Genomic DNA, 26,200 nt, shown 5'->3' on the forward strand with positions numbered 1-26,200 from the left:
CATGGGCACATAAGTGTATGTACAGAAATACACAGATAAGGACCTATACATGTGTGCAAAAATACACAATACACGTGCACACACACTCTGTTGTATGTAGATACACACGCTTCCAGACCCACATCTGGGCGCTCGCCACTCCTATTGGGGGATACCCACAGACATGTCCTCCAGAGGGGTGGTTACCAAGCTGGCGGGATGCACGGTCCTCTCCCCTCAGCCCTCTAGTCACCTAGGCTCACATTGTCCTATTGGCTGTTGCTGGTATCTCCATAGCAACAGGTTCTGGATGGAACCGGGGTCCACCCCTGCCTTTCCAGCAGGGGCCTGCCAGGCCCTGGGTAATGGCAGTGTAGTGTGGGAAAGCTGGGACAGCTCTGGGGTGGGGGAGCCACATGCCTATTTATCTGCTCCCTCTCCTGCCCAGGTGTACAGGGCAGACCTGGTGAGAGTGCAGGGCCTGGGGGAGCAAGTAGCCCTGGCAGAAAAGTGGGTCACACCCAGGATGATTAGAGCACAAGACATGGCAGGACGGAAGCAAGGGCCTGGGAGATCTGTGGGGAATCCCCAAGGCTGCTTGGAGAAGGCAAAGGGAAGAGGGAGGAGAGAGCCCGGCCAAGAGGGAAGCCTCCTTGTTCATTCTCAGACATTTTCTCAGCACCTGCCCCATACCAGGGAGTGTGCAGGACAGTGAAGGGGGGACTCAGATGGCACAGACCAACATAATTCTTCTCTCTCAGAGCTCCCCACCCAGCAGTGACAGGGCAAGCCCTTGGCCAGCCTCTCCACGTGGAGTCCCTGGGGTCACTCACTTGAGGGTGTACCTTTCCAATCACAGCCCAAGGGGCCAGCCCAAGGATGGAAAACAGAGGACACACATCTACTGCTCTTCCATGCTTTGTCCCTGGCAGACATTACTAGTCAACCACAGCACATTTTCTTGCTGAGCCATGCCCTGGTCTCAAAACCCTTCCAAGCAGGCATGACCAGCTGATTGTCATAGGCAAGAAAGCTAAAACCTATTTGCTTAGGTTTTAGTTCATAGCCAGACCAGCTATGCCCTCCCTGTCCCCACCGCTAGCTCAGCTCACCCTGACTTTCTCCTGCTTGCTCCCTACACTGTGTGCCAGATACAGTGCCCCTGCCTCCACATGTGCCTTCATTCCATGCCCCCACCCTCTGAAATCATCTCCAGCTTCTTAGGGGCCACAGCTTCAGGAGGCCTTCCCTGCCTCATTGCAACAGTCTGCACCTTCTCCTAATCCTTTCCTGTGGGGCCCAGCATTTTACTTCATTTTGTTTTATTTTTATTATTAGTTTTTTTGAGACAGGGTCTTGCTCTGTCATCTAGGCTGGAGTGCAGTAGTTTGGCCACAGCTCACAGCAGCCTCGAACTCCTGGGCTCAAGTGATCCTCCCGCCTCAGCCTCCCAGAATGCTGTGATTACAGGTGTGAGCCACTGCACCGGGCCAAGTCCAGCATTTTCTACCCTCTACCCACTTAAGGGCACCTCAGCCTGCAGGGTCTAGGGTGGGGCTTCACCTCTGTGGCTTCTTCCCCTAGATTAGCCTCCCTTTCATCATTGAAGTCCCATCTCCCATGAGGTCACCAAGGTCCTGGGCCCCACCCTGCCCTCCATTCCAAGCTCTCCCAGGCATGGGGTCCCCCCTCAGAGCAATGGGGATCTGCTGGGCTGGTCAGCCTAGGCAAATGAGCATTTAAAACTCTGCTGGGAGCCAAGTTGGGACTGATGTCGAGAGGGCCTGGTTTCTGTTCCTGCAGAAAGGCCACACCCTGCTTTGTCCCCACTCCATTGCAGCCTCTTGCTTTCACATCCTCAGCCCTGTATTCACCCCGGATTCCCCAGTGGGGTGAGCAGAGCAGGACTTGTCTGGCCGTTCTACAGATAGGAAAGCTGAGGCCCAGGAAGGGAAGTGTCTTGCCCAAGGGCCTGGCTCCAGCCCCAGCCAGTTACTCACTCACCCACCAGGCCTGGGGTGAGTCATGGTGGCCCAGGTGATGGGAAGGAAACACATAAACATGGGCAAGTGGGAAGGACGGTCTGCAGGGAGGGTGGATGCCCGCCTTGGGCTCCCAGTGATGAGTTCCCACACAGGCTGTCTTGGGCTTAATGGGCTTGCACACTCCCATCTGTCTCAAAACATCTTTCCTTCTGGCCTCGAATCCAGGCTTTGCATCAGCCCTGGGAGCACTGCCAGCCCATTTGACAAATGGAGAAACTGAGGCCCATGGCCACAAATCAAGCAGTGGCAGCGGGCTGGGCTCCAGACTAAAAACCTAGAGCTCCTTTCCCGCGCCCAGGGGTTCCCAGCTGGCTCTGACTGTGGCTCCAGTCTCCTCCAGGCTCAAGTACAGTCCACAGGGAGCCCTGCTCTGCCAGCTCTTTCCCGTCTCTGGGGAGGCCCAGCGCTAGCAGGGTGGGAGACAGACTGGGAGGACAGGCAGCTGTGCATGCCCATAAAGAGAAGGGCTCTGTCTTCCACAGAACATTCGTGCTACCAAACGCCTTTTCCACTTCCATGACAGAGATGGCTAATCCATCCCAGTACTCAATTTCAGAAGCCATCTGGCCACCACTACACAGCCCAGATTCTCCCCCTTCTCCCCTAGACCACCTCCCGTGCCTCCTCTCCAGGCCTCTGCCTCCATCCCGACAGTCATTCCCCACACAGCAGCCAGAGGGATCTTTTGAGAAGGTGGAGGCAGCCTCTCCTCCTCCACAGCCTCCCACTGTCCCCAGCATAGAGTCTACACTCTGCATAGAGTCTACACGATGCTCTGTGACCCCTCCCCTCCCTCTTCTCCTCGTCCTGGATTCTCCAGCAGCTTTCACTCTCTCACCCGCACTTCCCCAGCCCGGGCTCCTTCTGCAGGGCCTCTGCCCTCACTGATCCCCCTTCTGAAACCCTCTTCTCCCAGCTCTCGCCTTTGACTACCTTCTTATTCTGTCCCCCAAACCCACTCATCCTCTGAGGGCCACAGTGGGCACCTGGGAAGTGGCAGAGCCAGGATTGGAACCCTGGCCTACTTCTAGACTCTTCTGTGTTGTCAGCCATGAGCACATGGTCCTATGATTTAAACATGTTTGGGGCCAGGCGTGGTGGCTCACACCTGTAATCTCAGCATTTTGGGAGGCTGAGGTGGGTGGATCACTTGAACTCAGGAGTTCGAGACCAGCCTGGGCAACATGGCGAAACCCCATCTCTACAGGAAAAAAAAAAAAAATTGCTGGGTGTGGTGGTGCATGTCTGTAGTCCCAGCTCCTCAGGACACTGGGTGGAAGGATTTCTTGAGCCTGAGGGGCAAAGGCTGCAGTAAGCCATAATCATGCCGCTGCACTCCAGCCTGGGCGACAAAGCGAGAGGCTGTCTCAAAAAACCAAAGCAAACAAAACCCACAAAACAAAACAAAACATCTTTGGCCCTCCGTTGCCATACTCGATGATTCCAGAAGCCTCTTACTTCCATTCCCTCCTTGGGCCTCAGCCTGTTCTGTATGACCTGCCCAGAGTCACTCAGTGAGAGTCTCTGGAGCCAGAGGGCTCCCTGACATGAAGGGATGGACCTGCTGGCACCTTGCCTGGCAGGCCTCATCCTGGCCTTGGACCATAGCCCTTGATTTCCCCCACCCAGCTACAGCTCCTCCGTCCTCCACAGAATGAGCCCAAACTCCCACCTCTTCATGGACCTGAAGGTCCCTGGGGTCTTAAGCCTGGGTTTTAGTCCTATACCCCACCGCCACCCCCCTTCAAGCCTGGAGGAGGGGCTGGGCTGGGTCAGGGGTTCTGACTCACCTGGGCACCCCATCTGCTGACACGGAGGTCATCCCTAGAGAGCCAGGAGAAGACACTCAACAGCCCAGGGAAATCAGGTGTGCTGCATCTGATGTCCTCGGGCCTCAGAGGCAGGCAGAGGAGAAGGGGAAAGGACTCAGATAAACCCAGGTGGACTGGGTTCCCTGCTCCAAAGCCACGGGTGAGGGCTACACCCTCGCCTCTTGCATCCCCTTCCCCACGATCCTCAGCATCTCTGCCCTGGGATGATCTCTCGCCTGCCTTACACTCCAGGGCTTGTGGGCTGCACGCCATGAGCCCACCTGGGAGCCTGAGGGATGGGAGCCAGGGCTTTGCAGGAGCAGGAATCCTTAGCTGCATGCCCACGTGGCCACCATGGCACTCTTGGCCCCCTGCTCAAAATTTCTGATCTTTCGAAGGCCACCTCTGCCAGGAAGGGCCTGGAGCCCAGGTGGTTTGAGCAGGGGATGGGGAGGGGGAGAAGACATCTCGGGCAGGCATTTGCTCAACCAGAGCAATGGCAAGAAGTAGTGATGGGGCTGGGGGTTGCCCTGGTTCTATCTTTGCCAAACCAACCTATGGTTTTTTGATTGGCAGAGCTGGCAGTGGGAGGTTCCTGACAGTGAAGACAGTCCAACCTTTGAGGCGGGGAGGGCAAAAGAGGCCAGGAGTTCTCATGGCACCTCGTGGGCGGATGTGCCAGGGGCTTAATTGCCTCATTAGCATCTGCCTGCTGCCTGGGCCTGTCTGGTCCCCTCCCTGCCTGCCCACACGGCCCCGTTTTTCAGGAATCCTTCCTATGAGGCATTGATGGTGACAGTGAGGGTGACCATGACGAAGCTGGGAAATGGCTTGGGAGCCGGCTGGCCTGGCCCAGGTGCAGGGTTGCTGGCTTGAGGCCTCATAGCCCAGCACCATTCCACGTGGTTCAGCTGGCCAGCTGCCTGCCGGGACCTGGATGCGGACTGTTCCCAGGTAGGCAACAGCAGGAAATAGTCTAAGGACTCCCCTTCCTGCCCTGGCCCCACCCAGCCTGACTCCGGCCACAGGCGCACATGCTTCAAGACTTGGATGACTCCCTTCCTGAAAAGATCAGGCCCTCGAGGAGGGAGGAGTTCAATGGCTCTCTCAGGGCTCCTAGTGGGCCCTCCAAGGTGGGGACAGGATGGACAAGGGCCTACTCTGCCTGGGCCCCTGCCCACCTCCCTGCCCCTCCCCGTGGCTTACGTAGTCTCCCAGCAGAGGACAGCACTGCCCTGACACCCATCTCCAACAGGACAACCCTCTAGCCTGAGCCCTAGGAGCAGCTGAGCCCAGGGCTGGTGGGCTGAAGAGTGTTGGGAGGCATTTGGCTGGAGCTGGAGACCTCCCCAGAGACCCTGAAGCATCAGCCAGCCCACAGCCCCAAGGCCCGGCCCAAGAACTCAGTCTGAGGGGTAGCTGGATTCCCCAGGCCATGGGCACTACCCAGACTTGGAGCTCCCAGGAACAACAAAAAGGCCCAAGGAGCTGGAGCCCATGGAGCTGGGGAAACACAGCTCTGCTGCCTGCAACACACTTGGGGGGCCTCTGCAGTGCCCCAGCCCCTGGGCCTTAATCTCTCCATCTATAAAGCAGGGCAGTACCTTCTGCCTCCCCTGACTCCCAGGGACTATGGGGCAGCCAGGGAAGTTCCACATTGGGCCCATCAGAGGGAAAGGAAAGGCCTCTTTGTCCTAAGTGGCTGGGTATGGGCCCTCGACTACCCCTATGCACTTTGGGCAGCAGGAGTGGCCTTGGCCTGACCCACCTGTGCCAGAGAAGGTCAAGTGCTGACCACCTGGCAGGCCCTTTGCCAGGCATAGCAGGACAGCCCTATGTGGCCCTCAGGTGACCAAGGTGTGAGTATGCCATGTGTGTTGGGACAGGGCAGGGATAAGATTGGGTTGGGGTGGAGATAGGGGAGCCTGACCAAGACACTTGGCTCCAATTTTGACCACCACTGGCCTCCCCTCTCCAAGCCTCAGTTTCTTCCTCTATAAGGAGTCCCCAGATCCCGGGCTGTGGAGAACCGCCTGAGCTCCACCTCCTATCAGGTCAGCGTTGGCATTAGATTCTCATAGCAGCGCGAACCCTATTGTGGACAGCGAATGAGAGGGATCTAGGTTGCATGCGCCATATGAGAATCTAATGCCTATGATCTGAGGTGGAACAGTTTCATCCCGAAACCATGCCTCCAGCCCAAGTCCATGGAAAAATTGTCTTCCACGAAACTGGTCCCCGGTGCCAAAAAGGTTGAGGACCGCTGGTCTATAAAATGGGGCTTCAGTCTACCAGGCAAGAGTGTTGCAAGGCAGCAGATGAGCTATGTAAAGAGCCTGGTCCTGCCTTCTGCTCAACCTCTTTGTGCCCAGAAAGTAGAGAGAGGACCTAGGGGTAGTCAAGGACTCCGTGTGGGAAGCCCCCTGGAGCAAAGGGATGAGAGGGGGCCTGTGAGCAGCTGTGCCAGGCAGTGTGGGCAGACGGGGCTCTAAGCAGAGAGGCTGGCCCCCATAGGGAAATGGGGACAAAGGAGCTCGTCCAAGCCTAGAGCCAGGGGCTGCCCATCCCAAGGCTGATGTCGCAGTAGGAGAGTAGTGTGGACACTCCCAACACCCTGGGCCTGCCCGTGCAGGTCCCATCTCCTGGGGAAGGCCCTGCCTGCCAGCCTCTGCACCCATGCCGGCCCACTCACCTGCTCTTCTCCCACGGGGAAGAAACATCAGCGTAGGGAGAAACTCTGGGTCACCAGGACCCAGCTGGCTCAAGTGAGGTCCCACCAGCCCCCGCTGGCTCCTGCTCACCCATCCTTTGCTGTCACCCCCATCAATTCCTACCCTTTGCTCAGACCCAGCAGGTAACAATTCCTGATGGGACACTCAGGGAGCTTTTCCTGTTGTGGGATTTTGACCCATCCTTACTGCCTCCTCACTGTTCTTTCTGTACCATTTTCTAAAGTGGGTTCTGTAGAATCCCAGGCCTGCCAGGTATGCTGCAATAAAAAGGACCATGTGGTCAAATGTCTGGAAACACCATGAACTCTATGGCCCAGTGGCTGCACTGCATGGGAGTGTATTAAAGGCTCTGACAATCCTTCAGGGAAGTGGTTGTCTTTACTTTGTTCATCCTGGCATTTCCCAAATCCTGGTGACAATAGCACCAGTTTGTTTTGCATAACCTCCGCTAACAGCCCATGGAACCGGGCCTTCACTGTGTCCTCCAGGGAGGATGTGGAACTCTGTTGCCTGGTGGCTGTTCTACGTACCATATTCTCTTCCCTGGACTTCCCTTCCCATTTTTCAGATGGAAAGCTGAGGGCCATCGAGTTCATCACTCAGAACCCCATACCCTTGGGCCTGCTCAAGTGGCCCTGGGATCTGCTTTTCACACACAGGTCCAGCTGCCCCGGTGGGATCAGAAACCACCCTGGCCCAGCTGCTGGGGCTAAGATGTCTCACCAGGCGCCGGGACGTGGCTGGAGAGGAGAGCAGTGAGATGAGCTGGCCGCCAGGCCATGCTTCCTCCACCGGCACCGGCTGGCTCCTTGTGCTTTCCAGCCTGTAACTGCACAGGGCCAGACAGGGGCCAGATGTGGGGAAGCCGCTGTGGCTCAGCATGGGGGCTGCGGACAGGGCCCCCTCCCCAAGCCTGGGCCAGAGTTGGGTTACGAGCCCTGAGGGTCTCCTAATGAGTTCCACATGCTAGTGGATGCCTCAGAGAGGAAATGGGAAGGGGCTGGGGAGGGGAGAGGGGGCCTGAGAGGGAATTGGAAACATGTGTTTGTGGAGGAGGAGGAAGAAAGGCAGGAGGAAGGGAGAGGGAGGAAGGGAGCAGGAGGTGGGAGGAGAAGACTTTATCCCCAGGCGTTCTGGTGCTCATCCCCAGCGAGGTTGGCTGCCAGGCACACAGGCCCCTGCAGGAGGCCCCCAGGCCAGTGGTCTGCTGCGGGAGTGGTGGGAGAGGCCCCTTAGAGGCCCACTCCTCTCCTTCAGACAGAAAAAGCCCAAATCCCTGGCTCTGCTTGGCTGGGGTTCGGAGCCACTAGCCGGGGCAGGATAGAACTAGGTGGGTGGGAGGGTCTGTGGGGGCATGAGAAAGCCACCCCACATCTCATCGGCCAGCCAACAGTGAGATGCACATTTGAATCCAGCCCAGCCACCTGCACCCTACGCGAGAGGCCATGGTGCCTCGAGGCCACCGATCCCTCCAGCCCTGACACCACCTCTGCCTCTCTGAGCCAGCAACCGGCAGAGAGGCGGCCCCACTCTCGCACCCTGTCCTATAGGGCTGGGCGAGGCACCTGGCTTGGCCTGGTGGTTGGAAGCCTCAGTAGGAAAAGGCTGTGCAGGAGTCACGCGGGCACGTGGGGTGGGGTATCCAGTGAGCAAGACCCATGGCAGTTACTGAGCAAAGTCCAAGGGCCTTACAGGGCACAATGGCTCCCACTCCCAGGAGCCCTGATTGAGCCCCAGGTTGGCCCAGCCGAGCAGCTGAGGCTGATCCTGGAGTGGGCCTTGTAGCCAGCTGGTAATCCGCTCCCATTCCCACCCATCTCCCTGGGCCACCGATTGCAGCCCAGCAGGGACAGTGCCAGCTCTTAGTGCTTTGTGTGTATTGTCTCAGCAAGTCTTCCCAGCAGTCTTATGGGGTCACTTTTGCTCTTACCCCATGTTATAGATGAGGAGGCCGAGGCACAGAGAGGTGAAGTCAGAGTATTCCCAGCAGCAGGAACAGCAGGTGCAAAGGCCCTGGGGCTGGAATGTGCCTGGTGTGTCCAAGGAACAGTGAGAAGGCAGGTGTGGCTAGAGAAGAATGAGGGGAGGGGGGCAAGAGACAGGGGGTAGAGGTGGGCAAAACCGAGCAGGCCTCATGTGTGGGGAGCACTCCTGTGGCCTGTACTTGGAGGAGGCTGGGAACTGCTTGCGAGGTTGTGCAGTGATGGCATGAGCTCTTTTACACGTGTTCTTACTTTTTACTCTTGCATCTCAGCAGACTGGCTACTGTGTTGAGAACAGATGGGGTGGGCTGGGGGCAGAAGTGGGAGACAAGGTAGGAAGTGAGCAGGCAACATCTCAGCAGGTCTTGGCTCCTTGAGGGTCTCGCTCCAGATGGCCTAAGAGGTGGGGAGGCCTGAAGGTGGGGCGGCTGGAGGTATGCTCACCTGACCTGTCCCAGCCTGAGGCTTCCATCCCCCACCAGAGGGGACCATGGAACTGAGACTCCCCTAAACCAGAGGCATTTATCCCCAACAGGAGATTTTGGGATACCTCTCAAAGGGCCACGGTGGGGCTTCACAGTGGCCCTATTCCTGGACACACTGTAATTACCTGGGGAGCTGGACCCAACCCCAAGAAGCAGAGGCAGTCCTGGGAGCACAGGTCAGCTTCACAGTTTCAGCCAAGGCGGCTCAGGGCAGCAGCCTAGATATGGGCCATTGCTGGCCTCTGCAACAGAAAGTACCTTCTGTTTCCAGTTAGCAGGCGCATGAGTGCTGCTGCCTGGAGGGCCAGGGAGGACTAATTACATTGCTTCTCTTGCTTCAAGTTTCAGAGGCTTCTGAGGAACAAATCCAGGCGCAAGTTGTCTTAGGAGGGAGGTTCTGGGACCTGAGCTGGGGTGGAGAGGGGGGATGTGATGGCCCTAGAGAGCATGGCTAGCACTCCCATTCCAACCTTGGGCACGAGGACATGTCTTTGGGGTGGCTGTGGCTGGGGTCAGAGTTTGAGGGGCCCAGTGTAGAGGTGGCGTGGGCACCATGGGAACTTCTGAGGGAGCTGGATGGTTCTAGAGAGAACTTCCAGGTCAAGGCAAGGACCCTGCCCAAGCCTAGCCAGGGAGGGCAGAGGTCTGGAAGAAGATACCAGGTGGGTAGGGCATCTGCAGGGCACATATGGCCTCAGACAGGCTGGAGACCAAGACGACATGGGCTGGATAAATGTGGGCCCAGGTGCTCAGGCCGCCCATGTCTCTGAAGTCAGTCCTGACTTCAAAGTTGAGTCCAGATGCCAAGCTGGGAAGCATGGAGACGGACAAGGGCTGGCGTCAGTATGTGTGGCTGAGTGACACTGCTCAGCATGGGCCTTGGCTTCTGCAGGCCAGGCCTCTGCCCACTGGGTACCCACAAAAGATGCCAAAGTCCCACTTTCAGGAACACACGCTGGTGCCTAAAAGAGAAGCCTAGGGCTGAGAAAAGGAAGCTGTAGCAAGATATCACTTCCTTTCCTGCCAATGTTCCTCGTACCAGCATTCCGATTTCTCATGGGTGGCAGGAGAGAGCCGGCAGGGGCAGAAGTGTCTGCCGCAAGCAGCACTCCAGGCGGACAGGGCTCTAGATGGCCTCACCTAAAGTGAAAACAACTACTGGCCTTGCTCTATAAATAGGTTCTTGGGAGAGTGTTTCCACACGGGTAGCTCCTGGCAGGAGGAGAGGTTGGCACGGGATGCGCTTCCTAATGACTTTCCTGCAGGCTCTATGGGCTGGCTTCAGCCTCGTCTTGAGCATGGCCGTGGGGGCCCCATGGGTCACGGAGGCAGGGTGAATCTTCTAGGGAGGCACTCCCCACAGTGGCCGAGCGAGAGAACCCAGGGTGCCAGGGCGGCCTGGCTGGGGCAGGCTGAGCCTACCAGGCAATGGGAAGAGGCCCTGTTCCAGGACGGCAATGCTCACAGGAAGTGGAGCCATGCCCCAGGGCACCAGGACCTCCTGGCCTGCCACCGCTGCCTTAGCACGTGTGGTTTCCTCAGCAGCCTGGGCGGGCAGAACAGGGGTGGTAAGGAGAGAACCCCCAAGGGTTCTCTAGGGAGATTCTGCTCCCCCTTAAATGACCACACACCAATTAAATTTGGAGCCATCAGGGGCCCATCTCAAGCAAATCATTTCGGAAATGAGGTTAATGACAGGGCACTGGGGTGACAGGACCAGTGTGACTCACCATGCCCTCGCTTATTCAGTGGGCTGGACTTCCAGGATTCGGGGCAATCACAAACACCCACCCTCAAGCCTGTGCTCTCCCCAGAGGTGGCCTTAGTGACAGCAGAAGAGATAGCCTTAGAGTGCTTGCCTTCTCGGGTGGGGAGGGGCCCAATCCCTTCTCACCACCGGGGACACCCATGGCAGGGGCCATGGGATCAGGAGATGAGAACTCTAGCTGCCTAACATTACAAAGCCAGAGGGACCCTGGGACCACGAGCCCCCCCACCATCCCCACTGGCACATGGGGCCAAGTTTCAGGGAAGGGGCCTGACTCGCCAGGCCAGTGGTGGGATAACACCAATGGTCACACACTAACCGCACTTAACTTGCACCAGCCACTGTAGTGAGTGCCCAATGACACAAGCACTATTGTATAGAGGCCCAAAAAGGTCACAGAACTAGTCGGAGAGAGCGAGGGTTTGGACCTGGGCCATGGGTTGGGGGCCTCCTGACCTCACCACTTTGCCCTTGCCCCACAGAGCACCCCCCCGCCCACCCACCACTGAGAAGTCATGATGCTGTGGCAATCAAATCACAGGACAGAAGGCCAAGGACTGTGCTGGGTGGCAGGATGGCAGAGTTCCCACAGCAGGCTGGCATGTGCTACCTGAGTCTCTGAAGTGGGTGACTAGGTGGCCACAAGCCTGTGGCAACCCCTCGACACAGCCTGTCAGGCGCTCCCAGGGTGTGGTGACTTGGGTGAGAGGCGGAAAGCCTTGCCACAGGCCGGGGCTGGACTTGATGGCTTCTACCTGCAAGCTGCCTGCCTTGGTCATCTCAGCCACCTCTCAGCTTCTCCAGCAGGAAGTGCAGGTTTATCCCAGGAACCCACAGAAACTGGACAATGGTAGGCAGCAGGCTGCAGTTTAAATCACAGACATCTATTCTTTTATTTCACATTGGGAAAATTAGGGCATGAAGGCGCTGGGGAGGCAAACGATGGGGAATTGCTGCTGATATGCACTTACTGACAAAAATGCTAAACTAACTTCATCTTCCTAACACAAAAGAGATTCCTGCAATTTGGTTTCTGAGAGCTCAGTTACCAAATCCAAAATTAGGAGAGATGACGGCTGAGCCGAGCCATTTGCATTTCCAGAAGGGCTGCTTTTGTGCTTGGCAGCAAGAGTGGGGGATCAGTAGCAGCCCCAGCTACAGGGAGCCATCGGGTAGGGCTGGCAGAGCGTCGCTTAGGGAGATTCTGCAAGAAAGCTCCATCATGTGGCCCCCACACCTCGCCAAGCCACCTCAAGCCCACCCAGGCCCCACACTCCTTGCTGCCTGTGAGGGCCCTACACTCCCAGGCAGTGTGGTGTGTAGCTCAGGGGGCCTGCAGCATCTCCACGGGGAGGGGGTGAGGGTACAGAACTGAGGCTAGAGGGACAATGCCCACAGCAGTCACAGCTGCCTAGGACCCCGTTTCCCTCCCACCAGATTCTCACTCAGAGCAGTGAGGTCCTGAGTCAAGCCTCGCATGAGCAAGAAAAGGAACTCAAGAAGAACTCAGGCCCCAGGTGAGAGCCTTGGCACCCACCCCACCCCCAGCTCTGCCCTCAGCATGGTGATACACATTGACCCCCTGGCTTGGTGGAGGCAGTCTCTGTCCTGTTTTGTTTTTGTTGTTTGTTTTTGAGACGGAGATTTGCTCTGTCCCCCAGGCTGGAGTGCAGTGGCATGATCTCGGCTCACTGCAACCTCCGCCTCCTGGGTTCAAGCAATTCTCCTGCCTCAGCCTTCTGAGTAGCTGGGATTACAGGCGTGAGCCACCATGCCCGGCTAATTTTTGTATTTTTAGTAGAGACGGGGTTTCTCCATGTTGGCCAGGCTGGTCTTGAACTCCTGGCCTCAAGTGATCCTCCCGCCTCGGCCTCCCAAAGTGCTGGGATTACAGGCGTGAGCCACCGCACCTGGCCTGTGCTGTTTTAAAGAGCAGCATTCCAAGAAGAACATCCTGCCTACAAATTCCAGGTCTGGCTGGTGGCTCCATCAAGGGAGGGGTGTGGGCGTGGACACCCAGACCACTCTAGCAGAGCCCTCTGACAGTCCATGGGGCTTGAGCGTGGGCCTATCCAAGCTTGGCGCTGGCGCTGGCTCTGGCCTGTCTCTATCTGGACAGCCCACGTCAGGCTGTCCCAGGACACGCCGATATCATACTACAAGAAGTGTGTGGGAGTGAGTCCTTCCTCCTGACCCCTTACATCTAGTAACCAGTGGAGCTTCCACTGGCAGTCAACAATCAGGGACAAATACCACACCACTACCCCTAAGACCACCTCCTGCAACTCCACATGTCCTCCAGCAGAGAAAGGTGGATTTCATAGAGATTCCAAACTCGATCCTGGTGTAAACTGAAGACAGGGGTGATGGCAACCTCGGTCTGGCCTGAGAGCAAGACCTGCCACACAACGCCTTGGAGACCCTGCACATGTCCTGCTGCCCCCAGAGGGGCCGTCATCTGTCTCTGGAGATGACCTTGCCCTGGGCTGGTTGCTCAAATCATCAGAATCTCCACCCATGGTAGGTCCAAGCCCAGGTCCGGAAGCCACAACAGGCAGCCCAGTGCTGGTCTGGTGGCAGGAGGGCTGGCATGGGAGGGAACCGACACGGCTGGCCCCATAAGTTGCACCTCCTCTTAGCAGGCTGACCTGCAGTTGCCCAGACTCTACTTCAAAGCCTCCTGAGGTAGCCAAGAGACTTACCTGCCAGCATGGACCAGCAGGCCTGCCAGGCTCGTCCACACACCGGCAGGGCCACGTGGGAAAAGTGCGGCAGGTCCCAGCAGCTGCCAGAGCACCCTGAGCCCGCAGCTTCTTCCCATCGACAGTGCAGGGGGAGGATGGTGTTGAGAGCAGACCCTGTAGATCCAGTGGGACTGGTGGGGATGGGGAGTCCCACTGGGGGACTGATGGGGGATGGGCTTCTCTTGAGCACCTGCTCTGCACTGAGCACAGTGCATTGCTTACCTTGTCACCAGAGGAGGGTATCACAACCACTTCACACAATAAGAACCCAAGATTCAGAGAGGTTAGGTCACAATGTTGAGGTCACACAGCTGGCAACAGGCAGCTCCCTCCCCACCCAGTGTAGGCCAGAGAAAGCGTCCCGTCATCAGGACTCAACACAGCTGCCCTCTAGTCAGTCCAGGCTCTGAGGCATGCAGGCTCTGCTTCCACCTGGAGGCTGCAGAGGCTGTGAACCCACTGACCACGTGGTACTGACAGCTCCTGGGACGATCTAACACCACCTCCCATTCCCCAGGGCAGGGCAGGTGTGTTTGAGGATAAAGACCTCCTTGGCTGGCTGAGCCCCAAGAAGCTGAAGACGGAAGGCACGGGCGACACACAGACACAGGGAAAACATTTGTCCTGGCTTCCCCAGCACAGGGGCAGAGGGAGGACCCTATGGAAGCCCTCAGGAGCAAATGGAAACTTGGGTGCCTGAGGCCTCTGAGTCCCAACAGAAGCAGTCAGTGGGGGCCAGCCAGAGGGAGGTGGGTGCATGCAAGGGCTCTGACTGCCCTTGTTCCCCGACACCCTGAACAGCTGCAAACAGGGGGGTCCTGGCCTCAGAGGCAATCCTGGCAGAGGCCGTCCCAAGTCACCATTCTCATTCTGTTTGGGCCCTGGGGATGGGAAGATTGATTAAGTGTCATCCAGCATAAGCCACTCCTGCAACAAGTGCAATGAAGTCAGGTTTAATTTTGAGATTCCTGTGCCCTCACTCACGCAAGGAGGAAGTCACCTGGCTCCAGTGAACACGTGTGGAACAGAAATCAGGGCCACTGAAAAGCCACCACCCACTTGAGAGGGCTTGTTCTCAACAAACCTGACTCAGATGGGCCCACTTTGGGCCTTTAGTCAGATTTAGAGAAAACCCCCGGCTCATCCAATCAATGTGCAATCAATTTCTACACCATGGCAGAGGTAGGAAAAGCCAGTCACATGTCCAAATGATGAGTGAAAATCAAGGCATCGTGGAGCCACCTCCTCCAGAGGGGGAGCCACAATCTCAGGACCCCGAAGGAGCAGACATTTTCAAGTGGCTCCTTTACATTAAGCAAAATGTGGTCCTCTCATTCGGGTCTGAAGCATCATTTGTGTGTGAGCCCGGCCCACTGGGGACCTCTGGCTGCCAGGTGGAGAGCCTCCTGGTGCAGATAGCAAGGTGGAGGGCAGAACTGCAAAAATCCAGGGCTCCAGTATGGATGTGATTCCCACAGAGTTCAGTCCCCTTTATTTACCCAAGTCCCATGGTACAAATCCCTGGCCTGCCACCTGCAAATCCACCGAGCTCCTGATTCCTGCTCCCCTGATCATGGTGTTGCTCTCTGCATGATTAGCTGCTGGTTCTCCAGACACTGCTTCAGCTTGTCTTCTGTCAGTGTCAACCGCTGCTCCAGAATGGAGACTGTCTGCAAAATAAACAGTGGTTGGGTCAGAACACAGAAGGGCCGCCAGGCTGCTCTAGGGACCCCCTTGGCCAGTCCCCACTTGGCTGCCTCAGCCACTGCCCAAATGCCAGCTGGCTCTTTCCACCCAGGGGTTCTGCCAGGCCCCTTGTCTCTGGTGCTATTGGGATAGCCCTTGCCTTTATGTCTGCTTCTCCTGGCTCTGGATGGCTGATCTATAATGTTTGTGGGCAGGGGGTGGGGACACAGTGAGGGAAACTAGATGGCAGGTCCCATAGCCTTTGGTCATTTCTCAAGAGAACCAAGGGGTCAGGAACCCCCCACCCTGGTGGCCTGGCATTTATATTGGAGTTCTGCAGCAAAACCAGTTTCCTTGTCTGAGCCAGGCACTGTCCATAAACAACTGGAGACCATCAACCACCTCCACTCCAGAGGTGAGAAAATTGCACCCACAAATGATGGCACTCCACTTGGGTCCTTCCCCTCACACCTGGAAGAGCCTCCCAGGCTGGCAGGGGACAAAGGCAGGGAGGTGAGTCCCCTGATCCCAGGAGGGTCTCTGCCTGTCCAAGTCCAACGAATACTACTATAGGATATGTCATGTGGGACTTCAGCCCAGGGCAATCACAGGCCATGACAACTTCATCTCTCTGAGCCCACTTTCTCCTCCTTCGCCCAGTGCGAAAGACAACCAAGCTCATGGCCTAGGTAACTCAGCAGCCCAGCAGTTGCTCACTCTGACCATGCTTGTCAGAGTGCTTGTCAGGCAGATCATGCTGCCTTCCTGAAGCTGGGCCCTTGCTCTCCTGGCCTCTCTTACACACCCAGCACAATGGCTCACCTGCGGACCTGGCTGCCTGGCCTGCCAAAGGCCCCCAGCTGCTGGAGCTGCATGTGCTTCATGGGCCAGGGCCAGTCTTGCAGACATAGCTCCCAGACAGGCTGGGAAAAGCTGCCCTCCTCCTCTGGCTTTGGATAGAGTGTCAGCAGAGGGGCAGCACTGTCTGGGAGCCTGCATGCTCCCCAAAGAGGGGCTGGACCAGAGCAAGCCTGCCCCACTCATCACTTGCGCGGGTTGGACCATGCTGGCCATGACGCCTTTGGCATCATTTCACTTCCCTCTTTAGGGTTGGCTGAGTGCCTTACTGTATGCCAGGCCCCTGCTGGCCAATGGATGAGCCCATGTGAGTATGGCAGCCTTGACTCCGGTACTGTGCAGCCCATAGGCATCAGGAGGGTCAGATTAACCTCACCCGTGTGCTTTCCCAAGAGGTTTTGCCCCCTTCCCTGGGGCTCCATGAAGTCCTGGGCCTTGGTCCAGTGGAAAGGAAACTTTCTTTCATACATTTAATAAAACATTGAAACATTTTAGAAGGGAGTCTCCCCCTTTAAGGCTGCTATAAATTCTTGCAGCGTCCGGCACAGACATTAGCTGCCATGGAGGGTGCTCCGCCTGGTGGCTGGCCCCTTCTAAATGGGCCAATCAGGGCTGTGAGGGCTCTGAACCCTCTGTCACTGGACAGAGCCTGGAAAAATTGCTGCCCATGGAACACAAACTGCACCCTAAGAGGCAGAGCTGAGCTGAAAGAGACCATCACATTCCCCCTGTGCTGGCCAGCCAGCCGGGGAGGGGGTCTGCAGCTCGTAAAAGTGGCAGCGGAAACAGCCCCTGGCTGGCCCGGGGCAGCATTCCTGGAAGTTTCCACTGGCTGCTGTGAAACTCATAGGGCCAAAATCATTCTTCATCCAGACTTTTTCCGATGGCCCCAAACTCAAGGCCGCAGCAGAGGAGCCTGTTTTTCCTCTTCTGCCTTTTTTTTTTTCTTGAAACTTTTCACAGGAACCCAATTTGCAAACGTGGAGATAGTGGGCCCAGAAAACGTGGGTGAGGTGCTGGGCCAACGTCAATACAAGGGACTCCACTTAGTTCCATAGGGGGCCCATACTTCAGCTCAGTAGGAATGTGACCACTAAATGTGTCTAAATTATTTGAAAAGAGAAGCATCACCTGTTTCACAACCAGCCCCCTGCATGAAGGGTGCCACCCCGTTGAGGCCTTCCTCTGAGAGCTTTGAGGATCACTTCACAGCACAGTAGACAAACAGGCTTTTATGAGGCCCAACACCCCTCAAGGCAGTTTCTCCCCCTCCAGCCTAGCTTCAGAGGAGCTGTGTCATCTCTGTGTTTGGTCTCAGCTTCCCCTGTTCCTTCTCTGCCAAGGTGCCTCGTGGTGGCCACCATCAGGGAGAAAGAAGTCCAACCAGGCCCTTCCCAGCACACGTGATCCCAGCTGCCCCCACTCTGAGCCAGGAGAAGGCCTGGGAGAGCAGGATGCTTTTTGGATTTCTGTACATTAGAATGCTGTCTGGCACTCTTTGCTCCATGTAGTTAAAAAAAAAAAATCCTACTTTCTTAAAAATTTTTATATTTTTCTTAAAAATCAAATTTTCTTAATAAAGCATAGGACCTCATTTTCACAGAAAATGGTGACTCCTCATAGACAGTGAAACATGGAAATCTCTTTTTTTTTTTTTTTTTTTTTTTTTAAGACTGAGTCTCGTTCTGTCGACCCGGCTGAAGTGCAGTGGCGCGATCTCGGCTCACGACAAGCTCCGCCTCCCGGGTTCATGCCATTCTCCTGCCTCAGCCTCCCGAGTAGCTGGGACTACAGGCACCCGCCACTGCGCCCAGCTAATATTTTTGTATTTTTAGTATAGACGGGGTTTCACCGTGGTCTCGATCTCCTGACCTCGTGATCCGCCCGGCTCAGCCTCCCAAAATGTTGGGATTACAGGCGTGAGCCCCTGCGCCCGGCTGAAACATGGAAATCTGAAATGCTGCTGGTGTGCCTTCCCTCTACAAGGGGAAGGAAGGGGTTCCCCCATGATGGAAATGCCCCACTGGGCATCCAAGTGGCAAAGTGGAGACACACTCAGGGCTGGTGGCACACACAGGCAGGAGGGCTGGCAGGCCACCTGCAGGGAGTCTGTCTGGGCCACAGGCCCAGAGCAGCCAGGACAGGCCATCACAGTGCCACCGTGCTTCCCCAGCTGCACGGGAGCTGTGGGAGGAGGGCAGGAGAGCATCTGAGGTGGCAGAAGGGGTGTGTGGGGAGTACCCCTGGCACAGACTGGTTTGGAGCCATATCACGTGGCCTTGTTCAGAATGTATATGATCTTTACCTGTCGGTTCACAACAAAAAGTAAGCACATCCCCACATACCCATACGAGGGTTCAGAAAATACATGCTACCTCGGTGTACACAGGCCACTGCCATTTCCACCTGCTGCCTAGTGGCCCAACTCCCAGCGGGGCCCAGCCAAGCAGGCTGCTCTCGTCGCCTCATGCTCCGTCCAGCCCGGGAATTATCCTGCTACCAGCGCCTGTCCTCACCAGGCTGGAGACAAGGCCACACCTGCCCTGGAGGGTGAGGAGGAGCGCTCTGCAGGCAAATACCTCTGCGGCCTCCCCGGGTCCACACTCCATGGCCTGGAAGCCACGACTTTCATTTATTCAAGGAAAAATGAGCGCTGACCTTCCAAACAGTTCCTTGATCACACTGCCTCTCACCCTGTGCTCTGTACAGGGGAGCAGGGGCCAGAGGTCTGGTCCTAGCCCCTCAGAAGGTCCCCAAAGAGGTACAGGCTGTGTCAGGTGCCAGGTGTCAACAAGGGAAACTGCTTTGCCTGACACAAGCGTCCATGGCTTCTGGCTTTGGGGCAGGGTAAAGGGAAACTGACGAAGGGGTTGAGGAGTCCAGGGCTCTGGCTGCTAGAGGGGCAGCCTGGGCAAAGTGGCCAGGAAAGATGGCCCATCTCCCAGAACTCCCTCTTGCTGGGGTCCAACTCTTCCACAGTGCGGCCCCTTCTGTCTGCTGACCTTGGAGAAACCAGGCAGCTCATTCCCTTTCCTTGGACCTGGTGCTACCCTGGGAACATTCTTAAGTCCTCCATGTAATTGGGGTGTGGAGCTTAAACATGAGGGGGACCAGCAGGAGGTCCTGGGACTGGGCTCAGGGCGGTTCACCCTGATCATTGACCCTCTGCTCTGTGGGCTTCTCTTGGCAGCTGACTTTCACGGGACGCTCGTGTGTGCCAAAAACTTCAACAAACCTTCAGCGTGGGAGCTTTTATCATCCCCATTTTACAGATGAAGAAACTGAGGCACAGTGAGATTAAGTAACTTGCCTAAAGTTACACAGCTTATCAGTGACAAGCCTAGGCTGTGAGCCTAGGTGGCCTGGCTGCAGTGAGCACACTAAAGCACTGGGTAGTGTGCATCTTGGCTCTGTCCCCATCAAGAATGCCAAAGGAGAGGCCTGCTGGTGTCCCATCCCACTTCCAGCCCTGATGCCCAAACTCAGGCAGCCTGAGGAAAGACTAGGGGATCCCTGTCCTCACCCAGCAGCAGCACCTGCTGTCCTGGTTTAGGCTGCCTGGCCTAGCTGCTCTGAATTAAATGAGCAGAAACTCCTACCTCAGCCACAGTGGGAATGGACAGCCCCCAGGGTCACCCACCCCCTCACATTGTCAGGCCTCATGTGTCACCTCCCCCTGAAAAGCAGTCTCTTACCTGGCTAAACATTTAGGTTTGGAATTATTACAAAGGTCATAAGGATAATTCATGTGAGCCATGAAAACTCAATATTATAGGAACCGAAAGGACATAGTGACAAGAACCTCCTCCTGGATGCACCACGAGAAGCTGCCCCAATCACTTCACTGTCAACGCTTCTTTCACTGGCACTTGTGCCACTGCAGCATTAAGTGATCAGCCCCAAAACATGCTGTGGAACTCGCCTGGGTCACTGCTGGGTGGCCCATCCCCTGAAGACAAGGTTCAACTTTAAACAAGGTACCTCTCTCTCCCTAAATCGGAGTGACAGGAAGCCGGATTGAGGACCCTATGGCCTGGGCACTGTCACTCCTCACCCGATACTGTCCGCCTCCCAAGTCAAGGCCCTCATGGCCAGTGTCAGGAAGCCTCATGGGGTGTGGTCAGCAGGGCTCCAGAAGTTTTATCTTCAAAGTCACATCTGCCGAGGTTCACCTGGGGGCTCATTTCTGAACCCTTTTCCTACTCTGTTACCAGCAATTTCCTGGAAGCCATGGCCCTTCTCAAGAAAGCCTTGGCCTTAAAATCACTTGTTTGCCATCGAATGTATTCTGTTGTTTCTCTAGACCAAGGGTTAGCAAACTACGGCCGGCTGCCCCTTTGTGTAAATAAGGTTTTATGGACACGCCTGCTGGCTTCCGTATGGTCTCTGGCTGCCTTCTGGGTCCAGCGACAGGTTGACAGAGGCTGTATGGTCCACAAAGCCTAAAATCTTTACTGTTTAAATTTGCTGACCCTTGCCCTCGCTCTTCCCTTACTCAAACTCTCACAAAGCACCTCCCCAACGCTGGCCTGTGCCTGGCCCAGGATGATAATACGCAGACTCGGCTGAGCCCACAGGGTGCACCACAGTTCAACGAGGCAGATGCCACGCAGGCGCATAGACAGTGGGCTGCACTGCTGGGACGGAGGGGCAAGAGGGGCAGGAAGAGGATCAGGACCCAAAGAATGGTGTGTGCAAAGGCCCTGAGCTGGCCAAGGTTAAGAAACGGGAGGGATGGACCATAGGAGGCACGTGTGCTGGAGCAAGAAGAGGGGGCCTCAGGGGAGGCAGGAGATGGGGTTGGGCTCTGCAAGTCATGCCTAGCAGCTTCATCTTCACCCTCAGAGCAGGAGGGTGCTGGGGGGTGCTAGGCTGAGGGGATTTGAGACTCCTCTGGCTACTACACAGGGACAGTCTGGGAGTGGGTTCATGGCTGTGGGAAGGTGAGGTGCAGGCAAGAGAGAACGAGAGGGGATGACAGTGGCTTGGACTGGGGGCAGGAGAAGCCAGGAAGGAAAGTGGACAGAACCAGAGATAGCCACAAAGAACGAAGCACCAGTACCTGGTGACGAGTTAGATGGGGGTCTGAGAGAGATGTGCTCCAAGGCCAAGAACACAAGACAAGGACTGGCCCTGCAGGAGAGGCAGAAGACGGGCTCCAGATTACACAGGCTGAGTATGAGGACCCCCAAGAATGTTGAGAGGGTCTGGCAGGCATGGGGTGGTCTGAGAAGCCTGAGCCAGCAGCAGAGTTGCACTGCATTTTTAAGACTGGGATTACTGAGGATCCTATTGAGGGCAGCCAGTGGGTGAGGAGGGAAGGAAGAGGGGGGAGTGGGGAGGGCAGTGGACCCACAAGGGCCCTGCAGGCTGGAGAGCAGAGTCCAGCGCAGGGGAGCTGAGGGCCTTGGCAGGACCCAGGGTGATGTCAGCGATGGGCTGAACGTCCTGGAAAGCTCCTTGGTGGGGATGAAGGAGGGACTGCCCAACCCAGGTGACCCAACAGGGAGGATGCCGAGATGCTGGGGACCAAAACCAAGAGCATGGTGACAGGCTAGCTTGGGCTGGCTCTCAGTAGCTGGACAGTGGATCTAGGAGCTCGGACCAGGTGGTAGGGCTTCCAGCCGTGATTCATCCGCCTGAGCTCTCCAAGGAAAATCCCCCCAGGAGAGGGTGAACAATGGCATTCTATCTGAATCCTAATTTTTCTGCTCAGGGGAGACACTGTGATCTGTCCTATTGGGGCAACATTCAGAGGGCGAGTGTGCCTTCTCTCACTCACAGTTCAAGACGTGTAAAACGTTTTATGTAACACCTTAAAGGGCCTTCTGAGCATGGTATAAAAAGAACTGATTTTAAAATGACAGGCTTTTATTTTTAGCCCCCTAAAAACTGTAGTGATGCCCAAAGAAATTGCACTGAAATACAAGTCCTCAGAGACATGTCTGGCACCTGGGCCCCCAACTCCAAGTAGAAGAGGAACACTGGCGACATCTCAACAGATACCCCCAGTCTGCACCTCACTACCTCAGATGCGTCCTTCTCTACTGACATAGAGTAATTAGGTGTCTGCTGAAAGCCTGCTATGGTCCCCACAGGGCTCCGAGATTGGAACAGTTGAGCCCAGATGCCGTATCATCCTCCACGCCCACCAATGGCCCAAACTGACCAGTTCAGGTGTCCTGCCTGGGACAGAGCCTGGGTTTATGCAGCTCTGCTGGCCTCTGGGGTGGCTGGGGGGAGAGCCTTAGCTCCTCTGAGGTATGTGATGGGGACTCGGGCATCTGGGGCATCACGAGAGTTCAGAGAGGTCTCTGTATGACCCTCCAGCTGGCAAGAGGCATGGGCGGTGTGACACTCCCACTGGCTCTGCAGAGGTACAGGAAGAGTTCCTCTCTGGACAGGCACAGAGGAGGTGGGAGCATAGTGCTTCTGGAGAGGGTGAGGCCCCCACCCTCATACGTGGCGAAACAGAGCAAACAAGGACAGGTGTGACTGACCTGGCTGCACCTCACACCCCGTGGAGTGACGTACAGTCCCTCATGCCCACTTTCTCCCCTCAGGTCTAGTTACACCCCAGCGCTCTCCCTGGGCTACGTGGGCTTTTCCTTTGTCCCTCCTTTCTCCTGCTGGCCACCTCCTCCCAGTGTGACCTCCCCTTCTTTCAGCCCCAGCCTCTTTTTCTCCCTGGCCTGGTTTTCTCTTGAGGTGGGCTTGTCCTGCACTTTTTTCTTAGCTTTTCTCCCAGTTCTCATTTCTATTTCCTTTCAAGGCCTCTTCATTCCCTTTCCACTCTGTGTTTGGTGAGAGGGCGAGGGAAACAGGAGCAGAGTGTGTGTCTGGCCACCTGGGACTGAGCTCCAGGTGGAGTCAGGCCCCTGCCACGGCTCACCTGCTATGGGGCTGATGCCAGGGCTGCCCGGCCTGGGAAGGAGAGCATCAACTCTGACAGGAAGGCCTCTGGGAGAAAGCAACACAGGATGAGCCAATGCAAATGCTTTCCAAGTACTAGGTGCAGCAGGTGCAAAGGCCCTGAAGCACACTCTTGGAACTGTCAGGAGGCCAGGGTGCTTGGCCTCAAGTGGTTGAGCAGGGAAGAGATATGAGCCCTAGGGCCCTCAGCTCGAAACAGAAGGGAACAGAGAAGCCTCCACTCCCTGGCACTGCCTCACCAGGCTCACAGGTCTGAGTAGGCACAGCCAGGGAGGATGCTGCTCCCACGTGCCTGTGGCCAGTTTGTAGAACGCTGGTTCCAGAATAAACTCTGGGAGAAGAGCCTCGACCTAGGAACTGACCACAGCCACCTGGTCCTACAGTCCATGAAACGGAAGTGAATGGACAGACTGGCACTTCAGAGCACAGACCAAGGGCACACCCTCAGAGACAGGTCCCTTCCAGGAGCTGCTCCTCCTCCCATGACCATTGTTGTCACCACCTTTGCTGAAGGCTTCCCTCATGCACTCATGGGCAAACATGGCAGGGAAGCTGGAGCCGTAACTTCTCCAAAACTGAGGAGTTGTGGGACACTCACGACCCGCCTTGGGGGCAGCCAACAACATCATTCACTCCCATACCTCTGTCAGGCACCCACCACAGGCAGCAAACAAGGGACCCTAGCTCTTGGGGGCTTCCGAGCACTGACACAGCTGCAGCACCGGTCCTGTCTAGGCTGCGAGGAAAGCTACTCCACCACCACTGACAGCAAAGAACATCTTAGGGGCAGGAAAGAACAAGGGTGGCCAGATCCTTAAAAATACTTCTCCAAGTGCAGGCTTCACTCGAGGCTTCCCCAGTCCATCCCCCTGCCCCCCCAGCTCTGGGGCAGCCCCTCTTCCCAGGGGCCTCCTGCTCACCTTGGCCAGGGCCCTTCCCCATATCCACATCCTGCTCTTAGCAGAGCCCTGGGTGGTGGTACCTGGGGCCCTCCTTGGTGAGTGGTACTGGTTCTTATGGGAGCGTCCTCTGAGCTGGAAGACAGGTGGCATGGAGGTGGACAGGGTGGTTGGGCCAGACTGATGGGTGAAGGCGGAGCCAACATCCAGGCATGTGTCCCACCAAGCACTCTGCCTGGGCTGGGGACACAGTGGCAAGGGGAGCTGCAACTGTCCTGGGTTGGCAGGTTTGCAGGGAGGCCAGGAGATAAGGCACCAGTGGCTGATGGGGCAAGATGGAAAGCCACACTGACTGAGAGAAAGGAGAGGCAGCAGCTGGGTGAAGCCTGGGAGAGGCAGTAGGAGGGTGAACACACAGGACCATGCTGTCCCAGGCCCCCCTGGCGGCCACACTGGGTTAGTCGGCGTACCATTGGCAGGGGCAGCCACATCAGGGCTCTGCCCTCGCCAGACTCAGGCAGGCACCCCATCCCCTGCCCCAGCTGGGCTCCTCCTGCACTAGGGCCTCCCAGGCAGGGCTCGAGGCACTTCCCTCTTGGCACTCAGGTGCCCCTCCGGCCTGCTCCTCTCAGTCCCCATCCTCACACCTAGGCTTCCTGGTGACTCCCCTTGCCCTACTCCTGGGACACCCTTCACCCTCTGCCTCCTCACTGCTTCTCCGTGCCCCTTTCCTATCCAAGAGCTCAGGAATAAAGGCCAGACTCTGCGGCATGGCATTCCCGTGGCCCTCCAGGCCCTATGCTGCCCACCAATACTGCCTTCCCTGCCCAACCCCGCCCACCTGAGGCCCGCCCACTCTCCTACCCTAGGAGCCTCCTTGCCCTGGCCCCGCTGCTAGGATGCCTGCCTTCCTCCCCTCATGGGTGTGGGCCCTTGGAAAATGCCACTGAGGGATTCCTAGTGGGGAACCTTGGTCCCACGTGGTAAGCACGAAGGCTCCTCAGCTACATGGCCTAGGTTCAAAGGGAAACTTGACCACTAACTCGCCGAGCAGCCTTAGGCAAGTTACCAGACTCAGGGCTTCAGTTTCTTTGTAAAACACACCTCTCATAGTCACTGCAATATTCATATTAATAGCTAATATGCATGTAGAACTTGCTCTGTCTGGCTGGGCACAGGCATGCACTATGGGGAACATGACTCCTCTAGCCATTGCCCTGGCTGAGCTCCGGGATGTTGGGGGAGCCATGGGCACAGATGGGGCTTGATGAGGCCCCAAATAGGGCAGCCTGTGGTCAGGTTTGGGAGGGTGTGAGCCATTGATGCACGTGGTGGTCTGGCTGCTTCTTTAAGTTCTCCTGTGATGAAAAGCTCCTTTTACTCACTTCCCGGGTTGTGGTTGATGTGGGCGCCCCCATGATGTCTCCCTGGTGGGACTGGGGTTCTCCAGTCTCCTCCCCACCAACACAGGAGCCAGATAACTGGGCCAGAGGTGGTGTGGTCCCCACTGCTCTGAGTCTCAGGGAGAGGGCGCAGTCACCCGGCCACACTGAGGACATTTGTGGCAGGCCAGGGCAAACGTCCTGGGGCTGGCCATTGACTCAACACCCCTGGTCTCAACTGTGCTGCACTGAATGTCTAACTTTCCTTTGGCTTCATTGCAGAGATGAAAAATGTTGAATTAATCTCCCCTGTAGCATGGTTTTGACTTCACTCAGATTCTCAAGATCTAAAACAGATACAATAAAAGGGGAATCTCTTTGCTGTGGGGTCTCATGAGCTATCAAAACAAAGCAGGGCTGCCGGGCCCCACTGCCTACCCTAGCTCTGCGTTGTATCCTGCCAACTCCAGCTTTGTCACTTGGTGTAAGCCTGTGTGCGTACACACGCAGGACCCTGACTTGCTGGTGGTGCCCTTGCTAGCCTGCTGCCACATGTCAGCAGTGACTAGGGGGCCAGCCTAGCCCTCTGCAGACAGGGCCTGCAGCACCTTCACACCACCCAAGGCTCTGCCTCCTGGCCTCAGCCACCAACCAGTACCTAATGGTCTGCAGCTCAGGGGCCTTCATGTCACAGGGTACAAACGATGCCCCTCGAGCAGCCTGTGGACATCAGTCAGCCTGCATGCCAGTGATGAGGACAAAGATTGTTCTCTATTCTTTCTCATCACTGTCTTCCTGCTCCTAGACAGCACCTGGTACACAGCAGGTGCACACTGAGTACTGACTGGATGGACAAATGCCCTGAGTGCTATGGAAATGCAGGGAACACAGGTCCG

The 26,200-nt window shown here is 56.5% G+C and overlaps 1 protein-coding gene and 1 long non-coding RNA gene across 9 annotated transcripts in view, besides 4 other annotated features; both read right to left on the reverse strand.

The window, feature by feature from the left end:
- Positions 1 to 1,324: 1,324 nt before the first annotated feature.
- Positions 1,325 to 4,343, reverse strand: LINC00696 (long intergenic non-protein coding RNA 696). The gene has a single exon (NR_027331.1). It is a non-coding gene; the product is annotated as a long intergenic non-protein coding RNA 696 (long non-coding RNA).
- Positions 2,003 to 2,132: an enhancer, noted in NCBI's record as "active region_19926". NCBI's record gives its function as "activates an Ori minimal core promoter by ATAC-STARR-seq in GM12878 lymphoblastoid cells {active_cell/tissue: GM12878}" and the evidence as "EXISTENCE:reporter gene assay evidence [ECO:0000049][PMID:35858748]".
- Positions 7,168 to 7,761: an enhancer, noted in NCBI's record as "H3K4me1 hESC enhancer chr3:52101953-52102546 (GRCh37/hg19 assembly coordinates)". NCBI's record gives its function as "activates a minimal SCP1, AML or CMV promoter by ChIP-STARR-seq in primed H9 embryonic stem cells {active_cell/tissue: H9 hESC(primed)}" and the evidence as "EXISTENCE:reporter gene assay evidence [ECO:0000049][PMID:30033119]".
- Positions 9,952 to 10,453: an enhancer, noted in NCBI's record as "H3K4me1 hESC enhancer chr3:52104737-52105238 (GRCh37/hg19 assembly coordinates)". NCBI's record gives its function as "activates a minimal SCP1, AML or CMV promoter by ChIP-STARR-seq in naive H9 embryonic stem cells {active_cell/tissue: H9 hESC(naive)}" and the evidence as "EXISTENCE:reporter gene assay evidence [ECO:0000049][PMID:30033119]".
- The window catches only part of POC1A (POC1 centriolar protein A), a 79,198-nt gene continuing 67,454 nt past the window's right edge, over positions 14,457 to 26,200 (reverse strand). For all 8 annotated transcript variants that reach the window (XM_011533561.2, XM_011533560.2, NM_001161580.2 and 5 more), the window contains one exon: positions 14,457 to 15,216. In XM_011533561.2, coding sequence (XP_011531863.1) covers positions 15,118 to 15,216 — 99 coding nt within the window. In that variant the 3' untranslated portion in view covers positions 14,457 to 15,117. The remainder of the gene's footprint in view (positions 15,217 to 26,200) is intronic.
- Positions 17,614 to 18,533: an enhancer, noted in NCBI's record as "H3K4me1 hESC enhancer chr3:52112399-52113318 (GRCh37/hg19 assembly coordinates)". NCBI's record gives its function as "activates a minimal SCP1, AML or CMV promoter by ChIP-STARR-seq in naive H9 embryonic stem cells {active_cell/tissue: H9 hESC(naive)}" and the evidence as "EXISTENCE:reporter gene assay evidence [ECO:0000049][PMID:30033119]".

Source organism: Homo sapiens, chromosome 3 (genome assembly GCF_000001405.40).
Source record: "Homo sapiens chromosome 3, GRCh38.p14 Primary Assembly".
Lineage (NCBI taxonomy): Eukaryota > Metazoa > Chordata > Mammalia > Primates > Hominidae > Homo > Homo sapiens.